We start from the raw sequence: 19,574 nt of genomic DNA on the forward strand, positions 1-19,574 counted from the left end.
CTGTAGTCCTTGGCTCACTGCAACCTCCGCCTCCTGGGCTCAAGCGATTCTCCTGCCTCAGCCTCCCAAGTAGCTGGAATTACAGGCACACACAACTACACCCGAACAAGCCTCAAGCCTGCTCAGAGCCCCATGTGGTTCAGATGGTGGCAGCACTTTCTAGGAGCTCCCAGAGATCTGGGAAGCGGGGTGGCGGGAGGACGGCCTGGCACTGGACTGGCCAGGGTGCCAGCAGGGACCTCTGTGCAGGTGGCCCAGGGAGCCAGGCTGGTGGAAGAAACTGTCTCCCACAGGGGCTGCCAGGGAGAAACCGCAGGGAAGACCCTGCCTGGAGTCCCAGATGGGAATGCCCACCCTGAACTGGTGCCATCTGAGTTGCCTTGTAGCCAGGCCTCAGCCCAGTAAGGACCTGGCAACACCAGGGCGTTCAGGAACATGGAAAGGGCACTCAACCCACCGGCCACCCCCTCACCCCGAATTAAAGCCTCCCATGGCCTCCTTGGGATGTAGCACCTCAGAGGCCCAGCCTCACCCAGCCCTCTCCCCCTGGCACCCCCAGCTCAGCCCCGCTACTGGGTCACCCTTGGTTCAACCAGGCAAGCCCTCCTTCTCCTCAGAGCCCATGTGCCGTCTCCTCTGTCTGGAAAACTGACGCCAACACTCCCAGGCCAGGTCAAATGCCATCCTGTGCTTCTGTGGTGCCAGGGGCCTCCTCTTCAGAGCAGCTGCTTAGATGTCCCTCTTGGTCACCTCCCCTCCATGCCCCCAGTAATGGAGGGGGGCAGGAGGACACCCCCAGGGGCTAGTAGGACTGACTCAGCCATTGTCCAACTGGAACCACTCTATGTGGGGTGGCAGTGACAAGTCCAGCTTGGTGAGGACAGGTCTTCCCACAGGAGCGATCTGGGCCCAGAGGAGGCTCTGTGTGGGTGAAGCCAGAACCCCTATAAAACCTGCAGAGACACGTCACCCCCTCCCTCAGGCAGGACCCAGCACCAGGGTGTGTCAGGGCCAGGGACCCTGAAGTGGGAAAACTTGCGTCAGCTCTTGTGAGCATCCACTCTGCGAGCGTGAGGGCACAAGGTGGGAACCCGGGGGCTTCCCAAGAGAGGTGCCCTGCCTGGAGCTTCTGGCCTGGGAGGCGCACAGGCCCCACAGCCCAGACCTGCGAGACAGGAGGCAACACTGGAAGGGACCACTGCCTTTATTGCCTCTGTGCTGGGGTCCCAGCCTGGGGTTCAGAGGCCTCTGGGGGCAATAGGTGACCCTGGACCCAAATTATTGCTACTTGGCCAGGTCACCTTGGGGCTTCCCATACTGCCCTGAGAATGGGTGGGATGAGGGCATGCAAACGATATGCAAATGACATGCAAACCAACCCAGAGGCCTCTGGCACATCCATGGGTGCTGGAAGAGTCAGAGCCTAGTGGCCTGGGAGGGCGACGGGGCACCCAGCTCAGGCCCAGCCTCGGAGGCAAGGTTTGAGGGTTGGGGGGTCCCTGAGCATCAGCCCTGCTTCTGCCGCTGGCTGAGGAGGAGCAGAAGCCTGGTCCCAAGACAGCAGGAAGAAAGCAGGACCCTCGCTAGGCGGCCAGATGGCCTGAGGCCCACCCAGACAGGGACGGGACCTGCCCTGGGTCGCTCAGCCAGGCAGGGACAGCAGGGACCAGAATCCAGGTCTCCTGAGCCAGGCAGAAGCCAAAGTAGCTTGGAGGCTGAAGTGACAAACAATAAAATACAGGGATAAATAAATCAATAATAAATAGAAAGCAAGCAGCCCAGTCCCTGATCCCTGGGCTGAGAGCCCTTCCACCAGGCCCAAGTCCAGGAGGAGACAAGTCCTGGTCTTTGCGCTGGGCTGGCCAGTCCAGAAGGCTCCAGAGGGAGGCAGGCAGGGTCCCGGGGCCCTCGGCGTGTGCAGGTCTGGCTCAGTTGTTATTCATTATCCACCAGGAGGCTGGGGGTCAGAGGCAGGGGGTCAGGAGCCCTCAGGAGCCCACTGCCCCTCCAGGGCCACAGTGAGTGGGGGTCCACCGCATACCTGGGAAGAACACAGTGGTGAGGGTGTCCGGGGCCCGCAGGTGGTCGATGAGGATGCGCTGGAAGGCCTTGCTGCCAGGCGACTGCTGGTGCCTGCAGAGACCCAGGCTACAGTGACCTCGCTCTCCCCACTCCCGCCCCATCCTGCTGCCAGGATCAGACCCCGGCCCTTCTCACACTGCCTCTGGAGCCTCAGTCCTCTCCCCTGTGACACGGGGAAGCTGTGTGGGTGGAATGAAGGGCACTGCACACGGTGCTTGGCATAGGCATTGTCACATACATGGTGACAAGTGTGTATTCACTGAGTGCCTCCTGTGTCCCTGTGCTGTATTCAGCTCTTCCCAGTCACCTCCTTTAGCCCATAGGAGTTGGAACTGTTATCACTTCCATTTTGGAAAGGACTCGGGGGCTCGGGCAGGTGGGGTCACTCATCTGAGGTCACAGAGCCAGTGAGCGGGAGAGCAGAATTAGAACCCTGGCCTGACTCACTCCAGGGCCACATTCCATGGTGTTAGCGGCCAGACTGGCACTCATACCTTCTCCAGGAGGCCTCATCCTGCCAGAACTCATACAGGGTGAAGGAGGCACCGTCCAGCATCTTCTGGGCGGACACACTGTAGGGCCAAAGAGATGGGCAGGCCAGGCCAGGGCTGCCACCACCTCTGCCTCCCCGGCCTGGGGCCTCATGGGAACCCTGACCCACCCAGGATGGCCAGCCCCAGCACCCCTCTCTGCTCACCCCCTCCCCACTGGCCATCCCACCTGCCAGCTGGGGACTCACTGCAGACAATGGCTCTGGGCCCCTGTGAAGTCCACATAGCAGCGCAGGGCTCGGTGGAAGTCCTGCAGGCCTTCCTCTGCCACCTGGACCTGCCTCTGGGCCATGAGGATGTGCTGGTGGGAGAGGCAGCCGGTCAGCTGGTGCGGGGCCGGGCACAGGGGAGGGACTGGCTGTGGCCTCCAGGAGGTTCTCAGCTGTTTTTCTGTTTGTTTGTTTTTTAAGACAGGGTCTTGCTCTCACCCAGGCTGGAGTGCAGTGGTGTGTGGGATCACGGCTTACTGCAGCTTCTATCTCCCAGGCTCAAGTAATCCTCCCACCTTGGCCTCCCAAGGTGCTGGAATTACAGGCATGAGCCATCACACCTGGCCCCTAGCCTTCTTGACTGATGCCAGATCCAACCTACCCTTTAGCTGGGTTCCTGCCGCCAACCTGCCCCCCAGCCTCCCTGTCTCCATCCTCTTCTCCCTGTCTCCAAGGGTGCTGCTTGATCCAGCCACTGTTCCTCCTCCTGCAGTATGCCACCACTTCCTTCCACCCTCCAGCTTCCGTCCACACTGCCCCAGACCTGGCTTTCGGAAATGCTGATGGGGAACCAAAGCCCAGAGAAAGGTGGTGGTTCCTGCAGGTTCTCAGAACCCGGCACCTGCTTGCCAGGCCTGGGGGCGGGGCACATGCGCACTGCAGAGGGTTGGTGGGCAACCGGCCCCATGAATCCCCAATTCATGAGCACCCCCAGACACGGCCATCCAGCCGCTTGCCCCTCTCCTGGGCTCACCAAGTCAGGCCCCTTGGCCAGGTCCTCTTCACGCAGGGGTTCCAGCCGGGGGGCCTGTGAGGGCACAGAGTGTGGGCCGGGCCTCCAGCATGGGCCTGGCTCTGGTGGATACCAGGAGGGTCCTCCCTTGTGGGGCCCTGGCCCCACGGCCCTCACCTTGCACTCGAGCTGGTCGATGAGCTCCTGGAGGCGGTTCACCTGGAGCCGCCACTGCATCTCGGCCTCTGAGCTGCGCCCTGTGTGTGGGGCCCGTGCAGGGTCAGGCAGGGGCCTCTCAGGTCCCGCAGGTGCTCAGAATGAAGTGAGGGGCAGTGAAGGAGCGGGCCCTGGGGGAAGGGGGGATGCGGTGCCTGCCTCGGCCAGGCCTCCCACCCCACCCCAGGCGCACCTGTGTCAGAAGAGCCGGGGGACCAGGTGGATGACCGGCTGACACTCCTCAGGGCTCGGCGTCCTGCCCGCCGGCTGCCGCAGAGCCTGCTCTGCGCCTCCACGCTCTCTGCATCTGACCTAGAGGAAGTGAGGCTCACAGGGCCGAGGACTGGGGCCCCAGGACGGGATAAGCCTGGGTGGGGAAGACAAGCCTCCTGGGACTCCGAGGCCTAGCCCCAAAGCCAGTCTCATTTCACCCCGCCATGGCTACCCTGCCATGGCTTCCCCGCCCGAAAATGCAGGCTCCAGGATGCTGGGACTGTGGGGATTTGGAATGGGGGTACAATGGGCGCTTGTGCACTAGCCCCACAGGTTGACAGCACCCTTACATACCGCCAGCCATGGGCCTGGGCCTCCAGGGTATCTGACGCCCCCTCCAGCGAGCTCTGAAGGGCTTGCAGCTGGCTCACCGTCTCCCGCAGCAGGAAGCGCGTCACAAACTGGTCCACTTTGGAGGCCCTCTCGTACTCCTGTGGGCCAAGGAGGGACGGTCAGCATCTCCCAGCCCGGGCACTGATCTCTTGAGTGGGTCCCCTGCCTCTTGCCCATCAGAGCAGCGGTGGCAGTGCCAAGAGCAGGGGCACGCAAACCTGGCACAGGCAGGAGGGTACTGAGACCTGATGGGCAGGGAGGGTCTGGATCCCTCCTTGTCCGGGACTGGCCTCCCTCCCCGGAGGTGTGAGGCCAACTCACAGGGGGCATCTGCCCAGCGAAGTGCCTGGCCTCTCTGGACCTCATGGCCCCTTCCCTGATGGGGCTACCACCTTCAGCACTGTCATAGCCAGTGAGTCCCAGCCACAGCTAGGCTGGGTGGGGGCTATCACGAGGTATCCAAGGGCCAATGTTGACACAAGGCAAAATAATGGCGTGGTGTGGCCCCAGACTCACAATCTACGTATTCACTCATTCATTCATTCACTCATACACACAACACTGGGTGCTTTTTACTAGGAGCTGCTGATAAAAGACAATCAGGTTGCCATTCTCACTCAGACACACACGCCGGCACTGACCCCAACCGACACTGCCAGCCTCCTCCCAGCCCCTCTCAGGGTGGCAGAGAGGCAGGGAGGCTGCCCAAATGCTAGGCCCTGCATGGCCCAGCATGGGATTCTGAGGCTCCTCAACAACCGTCAGTTCCTGGAGCTTCCATTTCCTCATCTATCAAACAGGAAAGATGAAACTCAGCACATGGAGCTGCAAGAACGTCCCAGGAGTTAATTCCTGCATAGGACTCAGCCCAGGGTCTGGCACGTAAGCTCTCGATGCCAGACCTACCAGCCATCTATCGTCAAGTGTAATACAATAAAGGGCCTGCCCACTTGTACACCCAGGAGTCACAGATGTCCTGAGAATTGCCTAACCCCTACCACACACACACACACGCATCAGGGTGGGAGTCCTGGGGAGCTGCAGTCCAGGTGCCTGCCCTCTCCGAGGAGACTCCAGAAGCCCCATCCATCAGAGACTTCATCTCCTGCCATGACCTGCCTCAGCTCAGCCATCGGATGGGACCTCCTGGGCCAGGCTTATGAGCTAGGAGACAGGGACAGAGAAGAGGCTGGGTCTTTTCATTCTCAGACAGGCCAGGGTTTCTATCTCCATGAAATCTTCCCAAAAAATTCCTTTTTGGGTATTTGAGATGATTAGTTTCTGTTGCTTTCAACCAGAGAACAGACAGAAGCACCCACTCAGAGCCAAGCACTACTGCAAGAAGAATTTCATTTAGTCTTTTGTTTTTCTGAGACAGAGTCTCACTGTATCACCCAGGCTGGAGTGAAGCGGCATGATCTTGGCTCACCGCAACCTCTGCCTCCCAGCTTCAAGCAATTCTCCTGCCTCAGCCTCTTGAATAGCTAGGTTTACAGGCCTGTGCCACCACACCTGGCTAATGTTTGTATTTTTAGTAGAGACGGGGTTTCACTATGTTGCCCAGGCTGGACTCGAACTCCTGACCTCAGGTGATCCACCCGCCTCGGCCTCCCAAAGTACTGAGACTACAGGCATTAGCCACCATGCCAGGCCTCATTTAACCTTTGTAACAATTTACAGGAACCATAATTGACCCCATTTTGCAGATGAGAAAACAGGTCCAGAGAGGTTGATTACCTGGGCTAAGGTCACATAGCAAGTTAGTAGCAGGGCCAAAATTCATACCCAAACCACAGAAATCCCCCTCTATTCACCACTAAGCACCTTACATGCATTGCCTCATTTATGATCATTAGCCCAGTTTTACAGCTGAGAAACCAAGGCTAGAAGTGACTGAGTGGAGCCCAGATTCACCTGTGGGCCCTGGAAGGCGGTGCTCAGAGCCTGCAATTGGTGAGGTCAGCCCGTGAGGTCACAATGTTGCCAGGGCCCAGGGGGCAGAGCAGACGGAGTGTGGGCCATCGTCCCCAGTGGTGACCAGCCCTGCCATGGGAAACTATAGTTCCCACAAAAGGACCAAAGCACCCAAGCAGGCCCGCAAGGAGAGGCCGGCTGACATGGACAAGGCCTGGTGGAAATCGTTCCTCAACCACCTCACTCGGAAGAAGCCGGCTGTGAGGGCGGGGGATGGGGAGCAGGGCTGGGGAGGCAGCTGGGGGGCAGAGAAAGCTGGACAAGTGGGTGGGAAGGGATGCTGGGAGTCTAGGCCTTGTATGCAGAAGTCCTAGGGGGTGAGGGAGGAATTCGAAAATCTCTCCCAAGGATGAGGATCCCAGGAGCCCATATGGGTGTGGATGGGGGTCCTTTCAAGGTGGCTCACGCCTGTAATCCCAACACGTTGGTAGGCCAAGGTGGGTGGATAACTTCAGCCCAGGAGTTTGAGATTGGCCTGGGCAACATAGGGAGGCCCCATCTCTACAAAAATTAAAACTTAGCTGGTTGTGGTGGTGAATGCCCGCAGTCCCAGCTACTCAGAAGACTGAGGTGGACTACGTGAGCCCAGGAGGTCAGGGATGCAGTGAGCCGTTGACAGCACCACTGCTCCAGCCTGTAGGACACAGCAAGACCCTGTTTGACTCAGTCTTAAACAAAAAAAGCCCAGAAGGGAGGGCAGAGATTCCAGAACCAGAAAGTGGATGAGACTTGAGAGCCCCGGGGGGTGAGCATGAGTGGGATTCTCTCCCAACCCTGGACGAACGGGTGGAGATCCCAACACGGAGAATCAGTTCTAGTTGGTACTACTGGAGCTAGAGGCAGGGGGAATTCCCTAGTGTCCTCTCTTCAGCTCCTAGGCTCAGAACTTCCCTGTCTCCCTCTCAAATGAGCAGAAGCCCTGGACCAGGCGGGGGTGGGAGGTGCTGAAAGCCCCTGACATAGGGCCTGGAAGGGATCTCATAAACTTAGACGGAGCTGGTCTCAGGAAGTCAGCCTGGGATGGATGAGGGTTTCCAGAAAGGAGGCGGAGTCCGGGGCGCCACGCAGGGAAGGGCGGGCTTCCCCGCGGCCTGAATTGGACAGGGGTCCCCTCCAGCCCTGTGCACGAGAGGATGACAGGACCCGGGTGGACGACAGGACCCGGGTGGACGAGGGTCCCAGGAGAAGCGCGGAGCGGCCCCGGGTCGTGGGCTCGGCCCTAGCGCGCTCTCCCGCCTCACGCCCCTGTTCCACCCCCAGACCAGGATCGTGCTGATTCTCCCCCTGGACAAGCGGCAGCCGCTGGCCAACGCTGGGCAACGGATTGACTACGCGTCCGGCGCTGGGCTGGGCTCCCCGGCGGCACCCAGATTGCGCGGAGCGGGCGAAGGTAGCGAGCGCGAGCCGAGGATGCCGGTACTGCTGCTGCTGCGGCGGCAAGAGGCGCGGCGGCCGGAAGAGGGCGGGGCCAGGGCAGCTCTGAGCTGGCCGCGGCTGCTCTCGCGCTTCCGGTCCCCGGGGAAGGCTCCCCGCGAAGCCGGCCCCGCCGAGGAGCAGCCGCGCAAACGGTGCCGCTGCCCTCGCCCGCAGCTTTAAACGCTTGGCCCGGACCCCGCCCAATAAAGAGTGCGTGGCAACCCTGGCGCCTGCGAACCCTGTCGGAGGCGTCTGGGCGCGGAGTCGGGGTGGGCAAAGCTCAGCCTAGGAGCCGCAGAGGGGTGAACGGGGCGTGATGAAGGCAGAGCCATCGCCACGGTCTGGAGCCAGGGCTGTCTTTTGCTTTCTCCTTCCTTGTGCCAAGGGTCAGAACAGAACCCCAAACCTTGCTACAGTGGCGGGAGGCAGTTTCCTTCCCCCAACACTCCAAATCCAGGTCACATCCTGCCCAGTCTGCAGGCTCAAGGGAGGTGGGCTTGGGCAAACCCAGGCTTGGCCACGCTAGTGAGAGGGACCTGCTTCCGGTAAAGCCTGACATCCCCCCAGCATCCAGAAATCCCTCTTAGGCATGAGGGAGGGTTCCCGGCCAACAGGCACCATCCTGGGTAAGAACAGCCAGGATGGCAGTCAGCTGGGGCAAGGCCTGAGACGTGGATTCTGCCTGGGGACGCACCCAGGAGAAGCTGGAAGCCCTGGGCCTCTCTCTGGCCCCTCACTCCTACACATTGTGCTTGGTAACCCCAAAGCATTCAGGCCCCCCAGTCTTCCCCAAGGCACCTGTCTCCCAACCTACCCTGTCCCATCTCCTTCCCCACGTGACAAAGACTAATTCCAAACCACTTACCTGTCTAGGGCAGCTCACTCCCCTGCTCATAAGCTTTCAACAGGTCTCCATTACCAACAGGGAAAAAGCCCACAGCTTCAGTCTCACTCCCCAAATCACTTAGAAGAAGCCCTGCCACACTTTCTGTGGGCGGGATCCTGCTGCTGCTTCTCCTCACTCTCCCGGGTCCCAAATCCAGCTCCACACCCAATGCCACCCCTGGCCTGCCAAACCTGCAGCCCGCCTTCCTGCCACACTCTGGTGACCAACCTCAGGATGCCCTCTTTTGGGGGCAGATGCAGCAGGACTGAAGTCCCAGCTCACTACAGCCATCAGCCCAGCTTCTGCTGAAGATGCACTTTTGTCACCGCCACCAGGATGAACATCTCCTCCACCTTGCCTGCACCAGGCTGGAGGCTGCAAGAGCTATAACATCACTCCTGCTAATTGTGAGAACTGACTCTTCCCTACCATCCACATGGTTACAATCAGGGTAACCATGTTCTTCCATGGGGCTGCACCTCCTGCCCATACAGTGATTGGCCCAAGCTGGTCCTGTCAGCCCCTCCCCCTAGGACTGTGATTCAGGAGCTGTAAGAGACCATGTTCTCTACTTGAACATGCACAGGCTAAGCCAGCCTTCAGAATAAAAACACAATGCAGGCCAAGCGCAGTGGATCACGCCTGTAAACCCAGCACTTTGGGAGGCTGAGGCAGGCAGATCACGAGGTCAGGAGATCGAGACCATCCTGGCTAACACGGTGAAACCCCGTCTCTACTAAAAATACAAAAAACTAGCCAGGCATCATGGCGGGCGCCTGTAGTCCCAGCTACTCGGGAGACTAAGGCAGGGGAATTGAACCCAGGAGGCAGAGGTTGCAGTGAGCTGAGATCACACCACTGCACTCCAGCCTGGGCAAGAGAGCGAGACTCCATCTCAAAAAACAAACAACACAATGCAGTGCACATCCTGGGTTCCCCACAGCCCCGCAGTCAGATTCTGTTCCTGAAACCTGATTTCACCCTTGCTCTTGATATCCATAACATGTAAGATCCTTTCAATAAAGTCCTTATTTTGGGTTACATTCACCTGAGTCTTCTACCTGCAACCAAACTGGTCCTCAGGAGGATGAGGCTTTGCAGAGACAAGAAGTGACCTCTTTCCTGTGTGGGGGGATTATTACTACCTTTTGGAGGAGAAAACCGAACCCAGAGAAAGATCAAGACTTGCTTAGGACTGCACAGTGAGTCAGCTTCAGAACTGAGTCTTGCTGGGTGCGGTGGCTCACACCTGTAATCCTAGCACTTTGGGAGTCCAAGGCAGGTGGATCACCTGAGGTCAGGAGTTCGAGACCAGCCTGGCCAACGTGGCGAAACCCTGTCTCCACTAAAAATACAAAAATTAGCCGCGTATGGTGGTGCATGCCTGTAGTCCCAGCTACTCAGGAGGCTGAGGCAGGAGAATCACTTGAACTCGGAAGGCAGAGGTTGCACTGAGCTGAGATTGCAACGCTGCACGCCCAGCCTGGGTGACCGAGACTCCGTCTCAAAAATAATAATAATAAAAAAAAGAACTGAGTCTCAAACTGAGGCCCACGTGAATCCATCCGTGGAAGCCCATAAAGGTAGGGCCAGAGCCTCTCGGGGGCTCTTCAGGGAAGCTGCAGATCTGTGATGAAAAAGCTTTTTCTTCAGCACTGGGAGGGGTAGGGGGCCACACATCTGGACAGAGTACATCAGATAATTCTAAGTGGTTTGGGAAAGGAATCAGACTGTGCTGGGCTGCTGAAGCCAGACCCCTGGATGCCAAAATCACTGCCCTTGGCTCTGTCCAGAAGAGAGGATGGGTCCAGGGAGTTGTCATAAGGTAGGGAGCTGCGAAGTGCAGCTGCTGGGGAGTGAGGTCACAATGAGCCCAATCCAAGTTCTTTTCTGCCTTCTGACCAGCCCCTCCCCTCTCCACAACCAGGAACTTCCGTCAAGCCCAGGTGAGAGGTGCCAGGAGGCTGCCTGGGTCCTCAAGGGGGATATATGTCCAAATGGCCTTACCACAAGGCCCCTTCGCCCTCAAAGTTCTGCTCCTCCCGGGGGCTTCTTAGGATCTAAAAGGATCAGTCCTAGCCATCTCGTCAGCCATCTCAGCAAGGGCTGACGGGGCGGAACAGCAAAGCAGAGGCGGGTCCTGAGAGCGTGGAGCCTGAAGCCCGGCGCCAGAGGGAGACCAAGAGGGTGAGATGCGGCTGGAACCCAGCCAGAGCGGAGACTGAAGCCTGAACTAGGGGCCGGGCCTCAGGCCTAGGAACTAGCCACGAGCTGAAAAGGAGGCGGATGGCCCGGACAGAAGAGGCGGGGCTTTCAGACCAGAGGGCGGAGCCAAGAGCTGAAAAGGGTGGTGATTTGGTCCAGAAGAGGAAGAACTTAGGCTCCGGAGGCAGAGCCAAAGGCTGAAGGGGACTACTCCCTAGGACAGAGGCCGGGAGGTATCGGGCCGACGAAGCCGAGTGGCGCGGAGGAGCGGAGCCTTCAGCCCCGCGGCTGGGCCGAGCCCGAAGGTGGCGTCGGTGTCGGGGAGCCGCCGCGTGCACCGGCCGTCCTCCCTGGGCCGCATCGCGGTGGTGGTGGACCAGGGCTCGGGCTTCACCAAGGCGGGCTTCGCGGGCGAGAACCAGCCGCGCATAGTGCTGAAGAGCTCTAGCTTGGTGCCCAGCTGGGACCGGCCGGTGCTGCCCGGAGCGCCGGGCTGCGAGCTGGCGGGCGGCGTGGCGCGGGCGCACCCCATCAAGCACGGCGTGGTGGCGGACTGGGAGGCGCTGGAAGGGCTGTGGGAGCGCCTGCTGGTGGGCGGCCTGCGGGTGTGCCCAGAGCAGTGGCCCGTGCTGGTGAGCGACTCGCCGTTGGCGCCGCCCGCGGGCCGCGAAAGGGTGGCGGAGCTGCTGTTCGAGACCCTGGCAGTGCCCGCGTGCCACATGGCTAGCACCGCGTTGCTGGCGCTCTGCTCCACCGGCGCGTTCAGCGGGCTGGCCGTGGAGGCGGGCGCGGGCGTGTGCCACGCCACGCCCATCTACGCGGGTCACTCGTGGCACCAGGCCACCTTCCGACTGAACGTGGCAGGCAGCACCCTGTCGCGCTACCTGCGGGATCTGCTGGTGGCGGCGAACCCTGACCTCTTGCAGCAGGCCCTGCCCCGCAAGGCCATCACACATCTCAAGAAGCGCAGCTGCTACGTGTCCCTGGACTTCGAGGGCGACCTCCGCGACCCCGCCCGCCACCATCCGGCCAGTTTCAGCGTGGGTAACGGGTGCTGCGTCTGCCTCAGCAGTGAGCGCTTCCGCTGCCCCGAACCCATCTTCCAGCCGGGCCTGCTGGGCCAGGCTGAGCAGGGGCTGCCCGCGCTGGCCTTCCGGGCGCTGCAGAAGATGCCCAAAACGCTGCGGACACGCCTGGCAGACACCGTGGTGCTAGCCGGCGGCTCCACACTGTTTCCTGGCTTCGCCGAGCGCCTGGACAAGGAGCTGGAGGCGCAGTGCCGGCGGCACGGCTACGCGGCCCTGCGGCCCCACCTGGTGGCCAAGCATGGGCGTGGCATGGCTGTGTGGACCGGCGGCTCCATGGTGGCCTCCCTGCACTCCTTCCAGCGCCGCTGGATAACTCGGGCCATGTACCAGGAGTGTGGCTCCAGGCTGCTGTACGATGTGTTCAACTGAGTCAGGCTGGACTGGGGGGGGTGGCACTGCGTTGGGGGACAGCTCTCTATCTAAAGAGTCAAGTGTTTGGAGCTGGCAGGGTCCTCCTGGAGGTTGGAGCTGACTGGATGGGTCACCCCCATACCCTTTCTGGGCCAGGAGAAGGTATTTGGGACCCATGGGACCCTCATTTTGAACTGCAGTTTGAATCTCCCCAACCACTGCCAGTTCAGAGAATGCCAGTCCAGCTGCCTACCCACAGGGCCCTACTTTATGGCAATAAAGGTGATGCCCCACTTGTGTCCATGCCACAGATATGGGAGTTCCTCCAAACCCTCGTCATGTACCATTTGGACATACATCCGATGCCAGGCCCCAAGGGGCGATCCCTTGAAAAGCTACTAAATCTCATGTGAAAGTCACCAGGAGGAGGAGCCCTGTGCCTAGCCATGTGCTCAGGTCATTGTTGACTATGAGTGCCTCAGTTTCCCCTTCTGTAAAAAGTGGGGTCAGGCACAATCCCGGGCCTGCTCACTGCTCCCTCCCCCTTACAAGAGCTATGGAGCAAAGGGAGGTGGAGATATTTCTTGAACACACAAAGGGAAGGGCAGCTTATTTTTTGGAAGTCACCACTCAAGGGCCTCAAGCCCTGGCTATCAGCACTGTTCGAGCTTGTGTATACACGTGTCCACACAAACGCGTGGGTGTTCACGTACCTGCCTACTCACGTATGTCCTCGGGCCAGGCCCTGCCCTGTGAACCTGTGAGCACAGCCTTCCACGCCTAGCCCAGCCCTGAATGATATCCCACCACAGTTGTGATGGGCCAGCAACTAAAGCAACAGCAGCCCCTAGTATGAAGCACCCAGTGTATGCCAGACATTATTCTGGGTGCTGGAAACAGAATAAAACAGACAAAAATCCCTGCCTTCGTTCTCACTGGTCACAGTGATGTATGAAGGGCAGCTCTATTGTTATGATGGTTTACAGATGAGGAAACAGGCCCAGAGAGGTCAAGGGGCACAGCTACAAAGTGGGAGCCAGGATTTGAACCCAAGCCCCTAGCTCTATAACCCTGAGTCAAGACTGTGGAGGATCCCACAGCACAGCAGATGCCCACTGCCTCACAGTGGATCCCCCACCATCAGCCACTCCACTCACCAGCTTGGTGGCATCCATGGCAGCGAGCACTGCACGGTTCAGCGATTCCAATGCAGCCAGCACCGGCCGGTAGACACCCAGGTGCTCTGAGAAGTAGTCTGCAGGCAGAAGAGGTGCTCAAGGGTTCCTGGACCCCCACCCATCTACCCACCCTGGGATTCTGGCCCCCTGGAATTCCTCAGCAGCCAAGCAGGCCTTATATCCTGAGCCCAGCCCAACCTGTCCCATCAGGAGACCAGCAACAGTCCCTTGCCACACGTACCCTGGGGCCCAGGGGCCACAGGAGAAAAGAGCTCCCATGGGCCTACTCACCACACAGTTTTTCTGTTTCTAAATTGCTGCAGGGAAAAGAGAAGGCGCCCTTCAGACCTGGGCCTGGTAAACTGGGACTAATGGGGCCAATGCCCCACATCCCACCCCACCAACTCCCAGCTTAGCCTAACAAGGCCACTTCTGCTCCACCCCAGATTAAGTTGCTCCTGTGGACAGAGTCCTTGCAGGGTTGGAGAATGGGTTCTACTGCCCCCACCAATCACTCTAAGGGCAAAGATTCAGACCCATTCTTGGCTACCAAGAGGATCTCAGGCCAGGGGAAGATGGATGTGGACACAGGCCAGTGAGAAGTGGTCAGAGCTGCGAAGGGGAAGCCAGGTGCAAGGCAATGAAGTCCAGGGACGGCATGGGGTATTTAGTTGTAGGTTAGGGAGGGTTTCCTAGAGGAAGAGCTGCCTAAGTGAGGCCCTGAAGGACAAGGAACTGGGTGGGGAGTCTGGCCAGGAGGGGAGGGGAAGCACTGCAGATGAAGGTTCCAGCCCAAGTCTCAGGAGCCTGAGACTGACCCTCAGGAAAGGGGAGAAGGGAAGTAGAGGGAGTAACAGCGGTTCATGCGTGTGCACCCCTGGGAGCAGGCACGGGAAGGAGCGTGCACACTCCTGCCAAGACGCGTAGATGTGGGAGCACACAAGGGGTAGATGGTTGCGTGTTTATGCACTGCATTCTCGGGTGGAAGCAGGCGGGGCCCAGCTGTCCCCAGGCATCCTCTGGTCCCTGTGGGAAGCGGGAATGGGGAGCTGAGCCATGGGTGGTGACTCAGACTTGGCTATTTTGGGGTCCCAGCTGGAAGCAGTGTAGTGGGCAAGGCTGTAGCTGGAGAGGGGGTAGGCAGGCGGGTAAAGTTGGAACTGAGCCCTGGTACCTTTCTCCCTGCCCCCTCTTCCTCATCCTACAAAAGGAACCAAGGCAGCAGGGGACACAGTGGGGTAAAGACAACCTGGCCTCGCATCTACCCACGGCCCCCTCTCATACTCACTCGGTGAGATGCCCATCAATGCCGCTGAACAGTTCCTGCAGCTCCCCCAGGCTGAGAACCCCATCGGCAAAGTAATTCTGGAATTCCTCAAATGAGAGCTTCCCATCATCTGGGGTGGCAGGGGGAGGACAGGGAGCAGAGGAGGTATCCCTGACCCTGACTGCACCCCTGCCACCAGGTCCAGGGTCCCAAAGGCCTCATAGCATCTGACAACCATCTAGCTAGGTGAGATGGGAGTCTGAGGTCAGTGGGGGGCCTGACTGTTGGGGACAAAAGGACTGGGGTCCTTGAAGGTGTCCAGTGAAGGCAACAGAACCTACTTTGCAGGCACCAAAGGGACAGGGCAGTATGTACATAGCGTTGGGTAGGAACTCAGTAAATGTTTGCCAAGTGAAAAAACAAGCAACAGGCTGGGACACGGCCACATTGTGGCAGGGCCTAGATGTCACCTGGAAGGACTTGGGGACCAGCCTCACTGCAGGGCACAAGGAACCTCCATTCTCTGGACCCAGGACCTTCACAGAGAAGCCACGGGGAGGCAGATGGAATCCTCCTACTAGTTGGAGCCTCTGTAGGCAGCAGCAGGCTGGCTCAGAAGGGAATGAGCTCCCCATCACAGGGGCATGTAAGCAGAGGCTGGGAGTACTTATGTGGGACAAAGACATGGGATTTGGCCTGAATGATGTGTGAGGTCTCTGAGCAGATGGGTGCGGGGAGCTGACCCGGGGGAGGATCTGAACCTCCCCAGACAGAACTCCCTGGTCCAAGTGAGAGCATGTGTCCTGATCAATGGGTTGGGACAAACAATCCCCATCAATTTGAAGAGACCCAAGGAGAAGGGGCAAAGAGTGGGGACAGGACCCCGTCTCTAGGAGGATGAAACACAAGAGGGCGTGAAGACCCAGATGAAAGGAGCCCCAGGCTGACTGCGAAGCTCAGACCCTCCACGGGCCACACAGGGCACAGTGGGCTGCTCCAAGTCATCTAGGGGGAGCAGCCTGTTGCTGGATGGGTCCCCTAGGGCTCCTGCTTTAGCTTCCAAGTTTCTCCCAGACCAGGGTCTGAGACTGCCCAGGACCCAAGGCAGGAGGAGCCGACTCCTTTGGCACTGGACCCAGCTTTATCCTTGCCCAAGGCGTGGGTTTAGTTGTGTCCTCCAAGACCTCCCTGGTCCAGATGGTTGGTCACATGACAAGTTACTGAGCCCTCTAAAAACCTGAGTAAAATCTCCAAAAAGGCCTCATCTCCATTACCTCACTCTTCCAAGTGCCTCACACAAGGAGCCTGGGATTAAATGCTGCAAAGACCCAAGTTCGAGCCTATCAATTAAAGGCTGTGTGACCTTAGGCAACTTGCTTCACCTCTCTGGCCCTCTGCTCCTTTATGAAATAGGGTGAATTCCAATCTAGCTGGTGGTTGTGAGGACAACAGAGGGCCACGTACAGGAAGTGCCCATCACCATGCCAGGGTGCTGTGTGAAAGTCAGCCCCTATCTCCAGTCCGTGGCCAAACCACATTCTCTCCACTCTCCATCCTGCCAAACTTGGCTGAGAACAGCACTTCCTCTGGGAAGTGCCTTGATTGATTCTCCTGTTTTGGGCCCCCAAGATTTGTCTCAACTCTTGACTTCCCACCCAACCTCCCAACTCTCCCTGGGCCTCCTGGATGCCTCCCACCCTGCCCCACTGTGGGACCCAGGGGAAGCCACACTCACCATTCTTGTCTGCTCTGCGGAAAACCTAGAGGACAAAGGGACATAGAGAGAACTGTGAGTGCCACCTGGGAAGCCAGAGGCCCCCACTCAACCCGACAGGGTCCCAGCTGGCCGACCTACCCCCTGCCTCGCCTTTCCTCCCGCCCAGCCTGGTCCCAAACCACCTGCCCAGCTCAGCCCTGCAGGAGCTTTTCCTGCAAGCGGGGCACAGGAAGAGCACGCAGCGGGTGCCACCTCTGCTCACTTCTCCTGCAGGGCCTGGCCTCGTGGGGGGTGCTCCTGGCCAGTCCCCTGCGTCCCCACCTCCCACACCCAGAGTGCAGCCCAAGTTCTATCTGATACATCAGCCCCTGGCACAGTTCCAGCTTGAGGAAGGTTGAGGAGATGGGCCAGGTTGTGGCCCAGGAATCTTGCACAGCCGTCCTAGACCTGAGCCCCGAGCTCTGCTGTGTGGCCATGGTCTACCCCAGCTGCCCTCTCTGAGCTGTTTCCTTGCGTGCTGTTGAAAACCAACAGCAGGCAGTGGCTACTCTGTCTCTGCAGGCGCCTGAGTTACCCACTAGCAAATAGATCAGGAGCAGCTGGGGTTAACTCTTTCAGGGCTGGGGCTTCCTATGGGGCTGACTCTGAGGACCTTCGGCAGGCGTGTGTGTACACACACACGTCCAAGGGGGAGTGGGGGTGGCAGAAGGCAAGTTCGGCAGATTTCATTTATGGAGAAGTGGAGATGAAGAGCAACAGAGGCAGAGAGGAGCAGAGTCAAGACAGGTCCCCGTCTCTCTTAGTGACCTGCTCCCAGGTCACCCAAAGCAGCCCAGCAAAGGGGAGACTGGCAGGCCTGGCAAGCAGGGGTGGGCCAAGCCTGGGCCGAGAGCCCCCATGAACTCCAGGTCCTGAACGCCAGCCCCCTCCAGGGTCCTGTTTTGTCAGGGTCAGTGGGGCTCAGGAAAGACTCTAACCTCTAGCCTAACTCAGAGAAGGTCTGCCACTGGCTGAGGGGCACGCAGCAAGCCAGGGAGGCCCAGGTAGGGTAGATGGAGATCTTGGGAGTGGGCAGGGGTGCTAAGCTGGGAATGGGGACATCTGGGGTCACCCTATTGTATCCCTGCCTCCATGACTGACCTGAGACATATCCCCTCAGGCCTTGGTTTTCCTACTTGGGAAGAAGGAGGGTCAGGTCCCTTCCAGCCAGGGCTGTGGTCAAGGTGCTGAGTCACTAGGGGCAGTGGGGAGGGGGTGGGAGACAGCTTTGCCTCCCTCTGGAGTTGGGGCATGAGGGGGCCAGGACAGAGCCGAGCACAGCGGTGAACGGTGGAGAAAGGGCTCAGGGCCGTGGCTGGTGCCCATGGTGGCCGCAGGGCCACCCATGGCCCCATGGGAGGGTGACTCTGAGCAGCCCTTACCAACTGTAGGACTCTGCTGCCCTGGAGTGGGGCCTGAAGAACTCTGGGGGCGGCACTAGAGTCAGGAGTGAGGGGCCCTTGCGTTTCCAGGCTCCCCTTCCCCAGTCAGCCCAGCCTGGAGCTGCCACAGAGTGGGGTGACCGCTGCTGTGATTGTCGCCAGCCCCCCGCCAACACCAGACACACAAATGGGGTGGGCTGAGGGGTGGGAGGCAGCAGGGGCAGTGACACTGGAGCAGGGACAAGAGGAGACATGGAGAGACAGAACAGGTCACACAAGGGCAGAAAGGTCAAGAGAAAACAGCAGGGCCAGAGAGAGGGGAAGAGACCCAGAAACAGCGGCGGGGCCCGAACAACCCCGGAGGGTGAGACTAACAGAGACTCGGGTAGGGAGACACCGCGAGCAGAGCCCGCGCCCACTCACGTCCTGGAAGAGCGTGTGTCCGGCGGGCCCCGGGTCGGGCGCGAGCTGGGGGTGCCGCGGGGTCTGGGGCTGGGGCTGGGGCGCGGGCGGCCGGAGCAGGCACACGGTGAGCAGCCCCGCGCACGCCATGGCGCCGCCACCCGCTCGGGCTCGGCTGCGGTTGCTGCCGACCCTGGACGCCGCGGCGGACTCGGTGTGGCTAGAGGCCGCCCCTTGGCGCCGGCGCCGACGCGCGGGCTCAGGCCCCGCCCCCGCCCCGCCCCCGCGGACGCCGGGTTCCCTCGCCTCAAGGTCCAACTCCAGCGCCGCGGGCCTCCGCGCTTCCGCGGCCACGGCGGAGGGGGAGGCGCCCGAGGGCTCCGGTCCCGCGACGGCCTGTCGGGAGCAGAACCTAGGGGCTGCGGGCCTACCCAGAGGGACAGGATGACCAAGCCAGTGCCGAGGTCAGGGTGACACAAGTGGGTAAAACCCACCAGGACTTCACCTTTTGGGGCGTCTGTATCCTCATCTACAAAAATGGTACTGGCAGACACCCTATGCAATTGTTGGGACTCATTCAATGTCAAGTGCTTACAACGGGGGCTGGCGCAGAGGAAGCCCACAGGTCCGTGCGGCCGAATCCCAGGCATCCCGACGCCCGCCCTCTCTGGCACTAAGCGCAGCCCTTTCCCCTCCCCTCCGTGACTCTGGCCCTCCCTTCAACCCGTTCTCCACACAGCAGCCGGGGGGAGCTTTTAAGATGCGAAAGAGGAGGTGTCACTTCGGTCTCCAGTGACTCCTTGGCCCCTGAATAAAGCTTAAGACTGAACGCCCCACTCCAGGAGCACCACTCTGACCCTCACCTCAGGACCGCAGCCACACTGCTTTCTCTCCGGTCCTCTATCCCGCTCCCTCCTGCCCAAGGCCTTTGCCCATCGTGTCCTCTGCTTGGTGTTTTCTTCCTCTGGTTAACTCCTACTTATTTTACAGCGCTCAGCTTAAGCACCACCCATTCCAGAACGCCTTTCCCGATTTTCTCATTTATGCAGATCTCCTCTTTCAGACCCTGAGAGCACCATGAAAGGAGGTAACACCCGTGTCCCCAGAACTGTTAAATACCTGACACAGAACCAGCCCACTGTATTTGTTACATGTTTACTAATGTCCAGAAACGTCTGGAAGGAAGACAGCAAACTGAGCAGAGTGGCCTCTGGGGCTGGGGAAAGGAGAGGCCACTCATTACTCTGCACTTCGGGCAGCACTGAATAGCAT

The 19,574-nt window shown here is 59.7% G+C and overlaps 3 protein-coding genes across 10 annotated transcripts, besides 14 other annotated features; 2 read left to right on the top strand and 1 right to left on the bottom strand.

Annotated features, from left to right (window-relative positions):
• Positions 395-895: an enhancer, noted in NCBI's record as "H3K4me1 hESC enhancer chr20:32244101-32244601 (GRCh37/hg19 assembly coordinates)". NCBI's record gives its function as "activates a minimal SCP1, AML or CMV promoter by ChIP-STARR-seq in naive H9 embryonic stem cells {active_cell/tissue: H9 hESC(naive)}" and the evidence as "EXISTENCE:reporter gene assay evidence [ECO:0000049][PMID:30033119]".
• On the bottom strand, positions 1,187-19,448 carry NECAB3 (N-terminal EF-hand calcium binding protein 3). Of its 8 annotated transcripts, none has more exons than XM_047440370.1 (13): positions 19,166-19,448; positions 16,498-16,522; positions 14,784-14,892; positions 13,787-13,812; positions 13,475-13,572; positions 4,359-4,495; positions 3,985-4,103; positions 3,753-3,832; positions 3,597-3,650; positions 2,822-2,934; positions 2,577-2,654; positions 2,042-2,133; positions 1,187-1,957 (listed from the first exon to the last, which is right to left on the bottom strand). In XM_047440370.1, the coding sequence occupies exons 5-13, from the start codon at positions 13,490-13,492 to the stop codon at positions 1,929-1,931; spliced, it is 720 nt and encodes a 239-aa protein (XP_047296326.1). In that variant the 5' UTR covers positions 13,493-13,572; positions 13,787-13,812; positions 14,784-14,892; positions 16,498-16,522; positions 19,166-19,448; the 3' UTR covers positions 1,187-1,928. The 8 variants fall into 8 exon arrangements, with proteins under 8 accessions (XP_047296326.1, NP_112508.3, XP_047296325.1 ...); NM_031231.4 differs by lacking the exon at positions 19,166-19,448 and adding an exon at positions 18,324-18,528; XM_047440369.1 differs by having other exon boundaries at positions 3,597-3,832.
• C20orf144 (chromosome 20 open reading frame 144) lies at positions 6,427-8,008 on the top strand. Its single transcript, NM_080825.4, has 2 exons — positions 6,427-6,571; positions 7,632-8,008. Exons 1-2 carry the CDS (start codon positions 6,446-6,448, stop codon positions 7,965-7,967), a joined length of 462 nt encoding a protein of 153 aa, NP_543015.1. The 5' UTR covers positions 6,427-6,445; the 3' UTR covers positions 7,968-8,008.
• Positions 7,010-7,948: an enhancer, noted in NCBI's record as "H3K27ac-H3K4me1 hESC enhancer chr20:32250716-32251654 (GRCh37/hg19 assembly coordinates)". NCBI's record gives its function as "activates a minimal SCP1, AML or CMV promoter by ChIP-STARR-seq in naive and primed H9 embryonic stem cells {active_cell/tissue: H9 hESC(naive and primed)}" and the evidence as "EXISTENCE:reporter gene assay evidence [ECO:0000049][PMID:30033119]".
• Positions 7,713-7,902: a silencer, noted in NCBI's record as "silent region_12816". NCBI's record gives its function as "represses an Ori minimal core promoter by ATAC-STARR-seq in GM12878 lymphoblastoid cells {active_cell/tissue: GM12878}" and the evidence as "EXISTENCE:reporter gene assay evidence [ECO:0000049][PMID:35858748]".
• Positions 7,949-8,885: an enhancer, noted in NCBI's record as "H3K27ac-H3K4me1 hESC enhancer chr20:32251655-32252591 (GRCh37/hg19 assembly coordinates)". NCBI's record gives its function as "activates a minimal SCP1, AML or CMV promoter by ChIP-STARR-seq in naive and primed H9 embryonic stem cells {active_cell/tissue: H9 hESC(naive and primed)}" and the evidence as "EXISTENCE:reporter gene assay evidence [ECO:0000049][PMID:30033119]".
• Positions 8,143-8,302: an enhancer, noted in NCBI's record as "active region_17737". NCBI's record gives its function as "activates an Ori minimal core promoter by ATAC-STARR-seq in GM12878 lymphoblastoid cells {active_cell/tissue: GM12878}" and the evidence as "EXISTENCE:reporter gene assay evidence [ECO:0000049][PMID:35858748]".
• Positions 10,736-10,955: an enhancer, noted in NCBI's record as "active region_17738". NCBI's record gives its function as "activates an Ori minimal core promoter by ATAC-STARR-seq in GM12878 lymphoblastoid cells {active_cell/tissue: GM12878}" and the evidence as "EXISTENCE:reporter gene assay evidence [ECO:0000049][PMID:35858748]".
• On the top strand, positions 11,043-12,625 carry ACTL10 (actin like 10). Its single transcript, NM_001024675.2, has one exon. It carries the CDS (start codon positions 11,598-11,600, stop codon positions 12,333-12,335), a length of 738 nt encoding a protein of 245 aa, NP_001019846.1. The 5' UTR covers positions 11,043-11,597; the 3' UTR covers positions 12,336-12,625.
• Positions 11,086-11,415: a silencer, noted in NCBI's record as "silent region_12817". NCBI's record gives its function as "represses an Ori minimal core promoter by ATAC-STARR-seq in GM12878 lymphoblastoid cells {active_cell/tissue: GM12878}" and the evidence as "EXISTENCE:reporter gene assay evidence [ECO:0000049][PMID:35858748]".
• Positions 11,766-11,845: an enhancer, noted in NCBI's record as "active region_17739". NCBI's record gives its function as "activates an Ori minimal core promoter by ATAC-STARR-seq in GM12878 lymphoblastoid cells {active_cell/tissue: GM12878}" and the evidence as "EXISTENCE:reporter gene assay evidence [ECO:0000049][PMID:35858748]".
• Positions 16,191-16,740: an enhancer, noted in NCBI's record as "H3K27ac-H3K4me1 hESC enhancer chr20:32259897-32260446 (GRCh37/hg19 assembly coordinates)". NCBI's record gives its function as "activates a minimal SCP1, AML or CMV promoter by ChIP-STARR-seq in primed H9 embryonic stem cells {active_cell/tissue: H9 hESC(primed)}" and the evidence as "EXISTENCE:reporter gene assay evidence [ECO:0000049][PMID:30033119]".
• Positions 17,289-17,836: an enhancer, noted in NCBI's record as "H3K27ac-H3K4me1 hESC enhancer chr20:32260995-32261542 (GRCh37/hg19 assembly coordinates)". NCBI's record gives its function as "activates a minimal SCP1, AML or CMV promoter by ChIP-STARR-seq in naive H9 embryonic stem cells {active_cell/tissue: H9 hESC(naive)}" and the evidence as "EXISTENCE:reporter gene assay evidence [ECO:0000049][PMID:30033119]".
• Positions 17,837-18,384: an enhancer, noted in NCBI's record as "H3K27ac-H3K4me1 hESC enhancer chr20:32261543-32262090 (GRCh37/hg19 assembly coordinates)". NCBI's record gives its function as "activates a minimal SCP1, AML or CMV promoter by ChIP-STARR-seq in naive H9 embryonic stem cells {active_cell/tissue: H9 hESC(naive)}" and the evidence as "EXISTENCE:reporter gene assay evidence [ECO:0000049][PMID:30033119]".
• Positions 17,837-18,868: a biological region, named in NCBI's record as "H3K27ac-H3K4me1 hESC enhancer GRCh37_chr20:32261543-32262090".
• Positions 18,239-18,868: a silencer, noted in NCBI's record as "silent region_12818". NCBI's record gives its function as "represses an Ori minimal core promoter by ATAC-STARR-seq in GM12878 lymphoblastoid cells {active_cell/tissue: GM12878}" and the evidence as "EXISTENCE:reporter gene assay evidence [ECO:0000049][PMID:35858748]".
• Positions 19,055-19,555: an enhancer, noted in NCBI's record as "H3K4me1 hESC enhancer chr20:32262761-32263261 (GRCh37/hg19 assembly coordinates)". NCBI's record gives its function as "activates a minimal SCP1, AML or CMV promoter by ChIP-STARR-seq in naive and primed H9 embryonic stem cells {active_cell/tissue: H9 hESC(naive and primed)}" and the evidence as "EXISTENCE:reporter gene assay evidence [ECO:0000049][PMID:30033119]".

The sequence above is a fragment of the Homo sapiens genome, chromosome 20 (assembly GCF_000001405.40).
Source record: "Homo sapiens chromosome 20, GRCh38.p14 Primary Assembly".
Classification (NCBI taxonomy): Eukaryota; Metazoa; Chordata; class Mammalia; order Primates; family Hominidae; genus Homo; species Homo sapiens.

What these genes read in the sequence shown, in the direction of transcription:
- C20orf144 (NM_080825.4), top strand. Translation starts at nt 6,446, where the DNA reads ATGGGAAACTATAGTTCCCACAAAAGGACCAAAGCACCCAAGCAGGCC. An exon ending in TCACTCGGAAGAAGCCGGCT is followed by an intron (nt 6,572 to 7,631) that starts GTGAGGGCGGGG and finishes TTCCACCCCCAG; the next exon opens with ACCAGGATCGTGCTGATTCT.
- ACTL10 (NM_001024675.2), top strand. Translation starts at nt 11,598, where the DNA reads ATGGCTAGCACCGCGTTGCTGGCGCTCTGCTCCACCGGCGCGTTCAGC.
- NECAB3 (NM_031232.4), bottom strand. Translation starts at nt 18,452, where the DNA reads ATGGCGTGCGCGGGGCTGCTCACCGTGTGCCTGCTCCGGCCGCCCGCG. An exon ending in GACACACGCTCTTCCAGGAC is followed by an intron (nt 16,523 to 18,323) that starts GTGAGTGGGCGC and finishes TTTGTCCTCTAG; the next exon opens with GTTTTCCGCAGAGCAGACAA. An exon ending in GATGAGGCCTCCTGGAGAAG is followed by an intron (nt 2,134 to 2,576) that starts GTATGAGTGCCA and finishes GGGTCTCTGCAG; the next exon opens with GCACCAGCAGTCGCCTGGCA.